Genomic DNA, 10724 nt, shown 5'->3' on the forward strand with positions numbered 1-10724 from the left:
TTTGGAGATGTTATGTATCCTTTTTCATATTTCTTGCATCCTTATGTGACTATCTGTGCCCCTGACATAGCAGTCATTTCTTCCAATTTTCTGGGTTGGCTTTTATATGGGAAAGACCTTTTCTTATAGCTGTATCTACAGTGTTCATTGGATATCACACTTTGGCTTTGATTCTCGGGGGGTACAGTGGTATAGTCTACATACGATTTCTTCAGCTGTAATTGGCATGAGTGGTGTCTGTGAGTTATTCAGTGGCTTAGACTGCAGTTTTTTTTGTTTGTGTGTTTGTGGTTGAGATGGAGTCTAGCTCTGTCACAAGGCTGGAGTGCAGTGACACAATCTGAGCTCACTGCAACCTCTGCCTCTCAGGTTCAAGCGATTCTCCTGCCTCAGCCTCCTGAGTAGCTGGGACTACACACACGTGCCACCACGCCCAGCTAATTTTTGTATTTTTAGTAGAGACGGGGTTTCACCATGTTGGCCAGGCTGGTCTCGAACTCCTGACCTCGTGATCTACCTGCCTCAGCCTCACAAAGTGCTGGGATTACAGGTGTGAGCCACCACACCCAGCCAGACTGCAGTTGTTATTGGAGGCTGTGGTGAGGCTTTGCTGAGGATGGGGATGCCTGGAAGTCTTGTCCTTCAGCATCAGTGGTAGTGGTGGTAGACCAGGTGTGTCAATACTAGGGACCATGGGCAGTGTATGTGGGCACTGATGATAGCCTGTCTGCATGGGCCAATCCCTGGGCCTCCAGGTGGCTTCTTTGGTTGCTGGCAGTGGCAGCACTGGGCCAGGTGGGCAGGTGCGCCACTGGGCTCCTGGGTGGTGTGTGTGGCAGGCTGATCTCTAGTTCTCCAGGTGACGTGTGCAGGTTCTGGTGGTGGGTAGGCAGGTGTTTCCTCAGGCCTCTCAGTAGTAAGTGTGAGCGCTAGCTCTGGAGGCAGTGTGAGTCAATCTCCAGGCCCCCAGATGGTACATTCAGGCACCAGCATATTCCTATGCATTTCTAGATAAAAGTATTTTTCAGAAAACCTGAGCATATGTCCTATTAATACAACTTACTCTCATCAGCTCTGCATGAGAAGAAGGGGGATTTCCCTCAGTAGAACAGTCAGAATGGAATCACAGACTTGTTTTGAGCCAGTCACTGGTAAGTGGGGGTAGGCTAAAATGATAAGCTCAGAATCTAAACCTTAGACTAGGGAATGGCAAACTTTTTCCATAAAGAAGCAAAAGGTAATATTTTAGGCTTTTGGTCTAGATAACCTCTGTTGCAGTGACACAGTGGTGCCATCGTAGTCTAAAGCATATGTAGACAAGGCATAAATGAATGGACCTGGTTTTATTCCAGTAAAACTTAATTTATACAAACAGTCAGAGGGCCAGAATTGGCCCTTGGTCTATAGTTTGCCAACCCTGTTTAGACCAGTCACAATTTATTCCCTGGGGCTGGGCCAAGTTTTTCTAAAAAAAAAAAAGTAAGCAACCCGCTGTCAGAATAAAATAGGGTTTCTATTTAAAAAGAAGAAGAGGCTGGGTGTGATGGCTCATGCCTATAATCCTAGCAATTTGGGAGGGTGAGGCAGGAGGACTGCTTGAAGCCAGGAGTTTGAAACCAACTTGGACAATATAGTGAGACCCTGTCTCTGCAAAGAATAAAAAAATTAGCCAGGCATGGTGGCACATGTCTGTAGTCTTAGCTATGTAGGAGGTTGAAGGGGAAGATCAGGGGATCCCAGGATTTTGAGGTTACAGTGAGCTCTGACTCCACTTGTACTCTAGCCTAGGCAAAGAGTAAGACTCCTTTTCAAAAAAAAAAAATGGTAATGGTTGGTTGGGGTGGGTTGGAGAAGAAAGTGTTTCTGAATTTCTGGGTAGGTAACTGGTAGTGTCAGGCCAAACTAGCTCTACAGTCTTATTCATTATAAATAAAGGCAACTAGAAGATCTCCATCTAGCTATTAAAAATTGGTTAAAATCTACAGAGATAAAGGATGGTGACCCTTGTATCTGTTAGTTATTGTCACAAAATGCTGCATAATAAGTCACTCCAAATCTCAGTGGCTTAATACAACAGTCATTTATTTTCATGGATCTATGGGTCAGCTGAGGATTGGTTAATCTAGCATGAGCATGTCTGGGAAGCTCTACTTTGCTCTTGGTGTCTCTTATCTTCTGCTGGAAGCAGCAGGCTGGCCTGGGCTTGTTCTCATGGTGATAGCAGGAGTGAGTGAGCACAAATGAATGCACACTTTCCAAGTTTTTGGTCATGCAGATTAATATTCCAGTGGCCAAAGCTAGACACATGACTAAACCCAACATTAGGGGCTGGAGAAATATACTCTGATTCTTCAGTGGGAGGAACTGCAGAGACAAATGGCAGAGTCTTGGATACAGGGAGGACATGGATCCATTAATGTACCTTAATCAACAACAGCCCTCTAACCACCAATACAATTAAATAAGTATTTGTTGAATGCACTTGTGCCTGAATGCTTCTGGCTGCAGCCCAGGCAATGGGGGCCTGACTGGGGAGGGACCATAGCAGGGACTCGATGTCCTGCAGGTCTGTATGTAATTGCGTACGGCCGACTCCACATTGGTCATGGCTGATTTGCTTTGTCCTGCGTCCCCAAGGGGCAACGATTGGCTGATTTTATTTCTGAACAATTTTGACAAAGTTGTTTTCAGGAGCGCAGGAAGCAAATAAATTGTAGATTTGAATTTTGCAGGGGGTCAGAATTGTTGAATATATATACAGTCTTTTACATGCTGATAATTATTTCCATACCACAAGGAAGGCTAGCTATTAGGAGGCTGCTGTTCAATTCCTTTGCCCTGTGAGCTCATGACCTGTGTCTATGTGGGGGGCACTCACTTGTTAGAGATATTTCCCTTCAGAATAACATTAGCCAATATTCTAAATAAATGCAGGAAATTAAATAGTCTTCCCCAGACAGGTACTTTGCCCTTCTAAAGTAAATTACACATTGTAAAATAAAAAACAGTCACATTAAAAAACCAAAAGGTCTTTGTATTAGGTTGGTGTGGCATCAGCAAAGATATTTTCCTCCAGAGTAGAAGATCTTTTTAATGCACGATATTGCGTGTGGCAGCCCCACATCTCGTTTCCTTTTTTTTGTTGTTGTTTTTAACTAAAAGAGTTGACAATTTTATTTTCACATTTCCCAATAGAAATGAAAACTGCATCTTTTTTGGTCCCACTTCTCCCCTCCAAAACTATTCTCTTTGATAAGGCAAGGGGCAAGTCTTCCTTATGCTGTTAAGAAAACCTGGCATCACAGCAGCATGATCTCCTGGTGAAGGGAACAGGTAAATATAAAACTCATATAGGTCGGGCACAGTGGCTCACACCTGTAATCCCAGCACTTTGGGAGGCTGAGGCGAGCGGGTCATGAGGTCAGGAGATTGAGACCATCCTGGCCAACATGGTGAAACCCTGTCTCTACTAAAATAAAAAAAATTAGTCGGGCATGGTGCGCACGCCTGTAGTCCCAGCTACTCAGGAGGCTGAGGCAGGGGAATCGCTTGAACCCGGGAGGTGGAGGTTTCAGTGAGCTGAGATCGTGCCACTGCCCTCCAGCCTGGGCGACAGAGGAAGACTGTGTCTCAAAAACAAAACAAAATATTACAAACAAAGAAAACACAACAATAATAACAACAAAACAACACTGATGTAATGAGGCCTCCCCTCTATCCTTATCTGTCTGGTAGAGTCATTCTGGGCTGACTGGGCACCATCATGAGATGGGCAGGAGGTCTCATCATTGGGCACCCAGGCATCATGGGCATGTGGCCTCCCATGGGCGGCCTCATTCCAGGAGTAGGTCCCACTGGCATCATCCCAGGAGGAGGAGGGCCCATCATTGGCATCATGGGAGGGCCCCCCATATGGGGTGTTGCCATCATTCTGAGATGTGCGAGAAGTGTCATATACACATTAGATTGTGAAGACTTAATATAAAAAGAAAGCAAAGTATTTTGTTAATGTTAAAATATTTTATACTTGCAGACCTGGTATTTCGGATAGATTTGTTTAAATCTGTGATATTATTCCAATTACCTTCACTTCTTTTGTTTTACTTTTTAAAATGTGGTTACTACAAAATGCAAAAGTAAATATGTGGCTTCCATCATATTTCATCACATTTAGTGTGGACCCTGAGGATCTAGGGGAGTTATGAGCCTTAAGTTGAGGGTGACCCAGGTCAACGTGAATTGCTCTGAAAGAGAAGCAAAGGGCATAAAGAGAACGTATAAATGGAGAGAGGAGCTCAGTCTCACAGGGTGAGGAAAGGCTTTCTTTCTTACACAGTCTGGCACTTCTTCAAAAGCTTAAACACAGAGTTCTGTGACCCACCACTTCCACTCCAGTTTATGAAAGAAATGAAAATATATGTCCGTGCAGAAAATTGTACACAAATGCTCATAGCAGCATTATTCATAATAGCGCCAAAGTGAAAACAACACAAATGCTTGTCTACTGATGAGTGGAGAAATAGAACATGGTTTGACCACACAATGGAATATTATTCAGTCATCAAAAGGAATGAAGTACTAACACGTGCTACAACATGGATGAACCATGAGAATATTATGCTAAGTGGAAGAAACCAGTCACAAAAGGTCACATATTATAAGATTTCATTTATATGAAATGTCCAGAACACGCAAATCTATGAAGACAGAAACCCTGTCTCTACTAAAAATACAAAATTAGATGTGCATGGTGGCATATCCCTGTAATCCCAGCTACTCGGGAGGCAGGAGAATTGCTTTAACCCGGGAGGCGGAGGTTGCAGTGAGCCGAGATTGTGCCACTGCACTCCAGCCTGTGACAGAGACTCTATCTCAAAAAAAGTAGATTGTCAGGGCTTAGTGGGAGGAGGAAATGGCAGGTACCTGCTCATGGATACAGGGTTTCTTTTGGGGTGATGAAAATGTTTTAAAATTGATCATGATGGTGGCTGCCAAGCTCTGTGAATGCACTGAAACCATAGATTTGTTTACTTTAAATGGGCAAATGATATGGTACCTGAATTATATTTTAATAGTTATATTAAAAAAGTAAAATCTTCCTTGAAGAGATGACACTTAAGGAGAGGCCTAGGGGTGGGATGAGTTCACTATGTGGAGAAATGAGGAACAGCATTTCAGGGTGAGGAACAGTATAGTGAAGTCCCTGAGGTTGATAGGCATAGAGCAGATTTAAGGGACAGTTTTTTTTTTGAGATGGACTTTCACTCTTGACGCCCAGGCTTGGGTGGAGTGGTGCGATCCTGGCTCACTGCAACCTCTGCTTCCCGAGTTCAAGCGATTTTCCTGCCTCAGTCTCCCGAGTAGCTAGGATTACAGGTGCCGTCCACCACACGTGGCTAATTTTGGGATATTTAGTAGAGATGGGGTTCCACCATGTTGACCAGGCTGGTCTCGAACTCCTGATCTCAGGTGACCCACCCGCCTCAGCTTCCCAAAGTGCTGGGATAACAGGCGTGGGCCACTGCACTCAGTCAGATTTAAGGGACTTTCAAGAAGTTTCTGTGGCTGAAGCCTGCAGGGAAAGCAAGAGAATCAGGAAATGAGGCTGGAGAAAGAGAGGGGCTAGGTCATGGAGGGTCTCACATTAGAGTGTGGAAACTTCACACGAGTGGTCCCACCTTGGGCATCCCACGTAACTACTCTCTGTCCCAGCTTCCCTACTGGTGAAATAAAGGGCTGATGTAGGGATGGACTGAGATAGTGTGTGCTCAGGAAAGGTGACCTTTTATCATTGTGTTTTGTTTTTTTTTTTTTTTTTCCGAGATGGAATCTCATTCTGTCTCCCAGGCCGGAGTGCAGTGGCGCGATCTCAGCTCACTGCAAGCTCCACCTCCCAGGTTCACGCCATTCTCCTGCCTCAGCCTCCAGAGTAGCTGGGACTACAGGCGCCTGCCACCACGCCCGGCTAATTTTTTTGTATTTTAGGTAGAGACGGGGTTTCACGGTGTTAGGGAGAATGGTCTGGATCTCCTAACGTCGTGATCCGACCGCCTCGGCCTCCCAAAGTGCTGGGATTACAGGCGTGAGCCCCTGCGCCCGGCCGAGCTTTTATCATTGTTAACCCACACAGCAGAGGGAGCCATTGAAATTTGAGTGATCTGTTTGGATGCACCTTCTGAAGTGATTGCTTTGGTCCCTGTGAGGAGTGCAGATTGTCACAGGGCCAGGGAAAAGCAGAGGCCAGTCTGGAGGCATTTGCAGTCAAACGGCTGGAGGTGATGGTGGCTTGGTTTATGGTGGTGTCAGGAGAGTGGCTGAGCAGTGAAGGATCTGAGAAAGATTTAGGAGGTAAAACCCACGTGACTTAGTCACTGAATGTGAGTTGTGTGGGCTGGAGGGAAGGTAAAAAAGAATGAGAAGAAAAACATACGCAGGTGGGCCCTCCAGCCTAGGGTTACTTGAGGTCCCTTTGTGAAGAGGAATGTTTGTGTTGATGATGAAGATGTCTAGACTTTGAAAGGCCATTTGCAGGGCTTTTTTTTTTTTTTTTAACAGCCAACAAATCCTCCTTCCCTGTGCCCTAAATATATGAATGTTTTTTGACCTAATTTATCACAGAGAGATAGACATTCATTTGCTTTAATGAGAAATGCGGAATGCCACTAAGAAAGCATATTAAATTAATCTGGATTGCTGTGAGGGAGTTAAATCTGTTTAGATGTGCACCAGTGTTACTATAATAGCTTGGTCTCAACCCATTTCTGGCCTGCGGCTGCAGGATGTTGACTCCCAGCTTGCTTTCATTTGAAAGATCCCAGCAACAAGCACATTTGGCATTTCCAGCCAAACCCACTTTGTGCAGCGAAGGAAAAGTTGAGGAGTGCCTCTGTTGTTTTCCCCCAAATCATTAGGCAGAAATGTGGCTGGGAGCTTCATTGTTGATTTTTTCAGTTTTAATATTGCTGTGGAAAGCCTGTACCAACACTCAGCCATGTTATTCATCTACAGCTCCAGTCTGGGCTGTGATTTGTTTTTCCTTTGAGTGACACAACCTTATTTTCCATTAAGACTCAATGCAAATAGACACTCATGCACCATCACCATCACTCCCCCTGATTGGAGAAGGGAAGTCAATGCAGTGATTCTAGTTTGGTGTTCATATCGGAGGGTTTTATTTATTTATTTTGAGACGGAATCTCTCTCTGTCACTAGGCTGGAGTGCAGTGGTGCGCTCTCGGCTCACTGCAACCTCTGACTCCCTGGTTCAAGCGATTCTCCTGCCTCAGCCTCCCGAGTAGCTGGGCTTACAGGCATGTGCCACCACGCCCGGCTAACTTTTTGTATTTTTAGTGCAGACGGGGTTTCACCGTGTTAGCCAGGATGGTCTTGATCTCCTGACCTCGTGATCCGTCCGCCTCGGCCTCCCAAAGTGCTAAGATTATAGGCGTGAGCCACTGCGCCTGGCCTGGGGTTGTTTTTAAAAGCACATTTCTCTCAAATTAACTCCGGGGTGTCCCACTGTGACTAGGGCAAAGGTTTGGATTTTCTGGAGGTGGAAAGTCAAACTTCAAATAGAATTTGGAGGCTGCCACTGTGGTTCATGCCTGTAATACCAGTGCTTTGGGAGGCTGAGGTGGGTGGATCATTTGAGGCCAGAAGTTCGAGACCAACCTGGGCAACATGATGAGGCCTCGTTTCCACTAAAAATACAAAAATTAGCTAGGTGTGGTGGTACATGCCTGTAATCCCAGCTACTTAGGAGGCTGAGGCAGGAGTTATTGCTTGAACCTGGGAGGCAGAGATGTCCTGTGTCCAAATCCCATGAGGGGTATCAGCTGACTGAAGATAAAATCGGTCACGCTGTGTTGAGATTGGGGTTGCTGTTATCATCCCTCATCCCCACCCCTGCTAGGCATCCACAAACAGTCATCTTCAATGAGACGTCCCTCCTGCCCCTGGCTGCCTTATTTCATCTGCACCCAACCATACCCATTGCTTGTCAGTGGGTCTCAACCTTGGCTGCACCTTGGAATCTCCTGGGGAGATGAGACAATACCAAGGCTCTCTCTCACTTAGCATGATGTTTCCAAGGTCCATCCACATGCAGTAGGCACCAATACTTTCATTGTATGGATACAGCACATTTTGTTTATTCATTCATCAACCAAATGGCCATCTTGATTGTTGCTACCTTTTGGTTATTATATATATTACATGATTCCATTTATGTGAAAGGTCCAGAATAGGCAAATCTGTAGAGGCAGAAAGCAGGTAAGTGGTTGCCAGGAACTGGGGGAAAGGGGAGGGGATGGAGAGTGCTTGATTGGATACAGGGTTATTTTTTGGGGGGGCGGGGGGTGTTAATGAAAATGTTTTGGAACTAGACAGAGATGATGATTGCTTAACATTGTGAATGTATTTAATGATACTGAAGTGTATGGTTTCATACAGGGACTTGTGTGTTGTGTGAATTTTGCCTCATTAAAAAAATACTGCTAGGAGCAATGGCTCATGCTTGTAATCCCAGCACTTTGGGAGGCCAAGGCGGGCAGATCACCTGAGGCTGGGAGTTGGTGACCTGCCTGGCCAACATGGTGAAACCCTATCTCTATTAAAAATACATAAATTATCCCTTCACATCTTTGGGGGGTAATTTTTACAATGCAGTCTAACAACCAGCTGCCTCAAAATGAACTGGGATCCCTCGTAACCAGGTAGCTCCCCTATCTCCAACTCTCACCTGCCAAGTCAGAATCTTGTGGGTGGGGCTGAGGACTGTACATATTGAAACAGGCAGTAACCTGGGAACTATTTCTGAACACCCCTATGTTTCCCCTGTGTTTGCTCTTTCCTTTCACATTTGGACCCCTTTTTGTGCTGACCACTGGGCTGTTTCACATAGACATAACATAAATAAGACAGGCCTGGTGCAGTGGCTCATGCCTGTAATCCTAGCACTTTGGGATGCCGAGGTAAGCGAATCACTTGAGGCCAGGAGTTCAAGATCTGTCTGGCCAACATGACAAAACCCCATCTCTACCAAAAATATGAAATTAGCTGGGTGTGGTGATGTACACCTTTGATCCCAGCTACTCAGAGGGCTGAGGCTGGAGAATCCCTTGAGCCCAGGAGGCAGAAACTGCAGTGAGCCGAGATCGCACTGTTGCACTCCAGCTTGGGTGACAGTGAGACTCTTAAAAAAAAAAAAAAAAAAAAAAAAAGACAAAGATAGTCCTTCCTTTATGGAGCTCTCAGTAAAACAAGAAAGCTCAAGATGTCCTGGCATTTGTCAGAAATACATTTGGTATATGTAGCTGGGGTCACATGCTTGACATGCCTATTGAAAGCTTCTGGGTAGGAAGAGAACAATCATCACAGCATCACAGCCTGGCATAACTGTCTCCAGGGACAGGTCTCCCTGGGGAGACTGAGACCACAACTCTGAAATCAGAGCTCAAATCCAGGTTCTACATTTCGCTCAGTAATGTACATGATGTAGGACAGTTTTTATATTAGTTATCTATTGCTGTGCAACAATGTTACTGCAAACTTTGTGGCTTGAGACAGCAGACAGTTATCACTGCATGGTTTCTGTGGGTCAGGAATCCAGGCGTGACTCAGCTGGGTTCAGTGCAAGGCTGCAGCCATAGTGTCAGCCAGGGCTCAGTTCTCATCTGGAGGCTTGACTGGTGATTGATCTGCTTCCAAGCTCATCTGGTTGTTGGCAGCATTCAGTTCCTTGCAGGCTGCTGGACTCAGGGCCCCAGTTTCTTGCTGCCTTCAGCTTCTTGCCACATGGGCCTCTCCATCTGGCCGCTCATGACATGGCACCTCACATCTTCAAAGCCAGCAAGACAGACAGCCTCCTAGCAAGACAACTTAACATCCTATCTAACATAATCACTACATCCCATCACCTCTGCCATATTCTCTTGGTTATAAGAAAGTCATAGGTCCCTTTGTCAGATGAGTAGATTGCAAAAATTTTCTCCCATTCTGTAGGTTGCCTGTTCACTCTGATGGTAGTTTCTTTTGCTGTGCAGAAGCTCTTTAGTTTAATTAGTTCCCATTTGTCAATTTTGGCTTTTGTTGCCATTGCTTTTGGTGTTTTAGACATGAAGTCCTTGCCCATGCCTATGTCCTGAATGGTAATCCTGAGGTTTTCTTCTAGGGTTTTTATGGTTTTAGGTCTAAAATTTAAGTCTTTAATCCATCTTGAATTAATTTTTATATAAGATGTAAGGAAGGGATCCAGTTTCAGCTTTCTCCATATGACTAGCCAGTTTTCCCAGCACCATTTATTAAATAGGGAATCTTTTCCCCATTTCTTGTTTTTGTCAGGTTTGTCAAAGATCAGATAGTTGTAGATGTGTGGCATTATTTCTGAGGGCTGTGTTCTGTTCCATTAGTCTGTATCTCTGTTTTTGTACCAGTACCATGCTGTTTTGGTTACTATAGCCTTGTAGTATAGTTTGAAGTCAGGTAGTGTGATGCCTCTAGCTTTGTCCTTTTGGCTTAGGATTGACTTGGCAATGTGGGCTCTTTTTTGGTTCCATATGAACTTTAAAGTAGTTTTTTCCAATTCTGTGAAGAAAGTCATTGGTAACTTGATGGGGATGGTATTGAATCTATAAATTACCTTGGGCAGTATGACCATTTTCATGATATTGATTCCTCCTAGCCATGAGCATGGAATGTTCTTCCATTTGTTTGTATCCTCTTTT

The 10724-nt window shown here is 44.9% G+C and overlaps 1 pseudogene, besides 1 other annotated feature; it reads right to left on the reverse strand.

Moving 5' to 3' along the window:
- On the reverse strand, window positions 3150–3930 carry SNRPCP14 (small nuclear ribonucleoprotein polypeptide C pseudogene 14; annotated as a pseudogene).
- Window positions 9646–9846: a silencer, noted in NCBI's record as "peak1333 fragment used in MPRA reporter construct". NCBI's record gives its function as "represses an SCP1 promoter by STARR-seq MPRAs in K562 erythroleukemia cells {active_cell/tissue: K562}" and the evidence as "EXISTENCE:reporter gene assay evidence [ECO:0000049][PMID:32103011]".

Source organism: Homo sapiens, chromosome 11 (genome assembly GCF_000001405.40).
Source record: "Homo sapiens chromosome 11, GRCh38.p14 Primary Assembly".
NCBI classification, from domain to species: domain Eukaryota; kingdom Metazoa; phylum Chordata; class Mammalia; order Primates; family Hominidae; genus Homo; species Homo sapiens.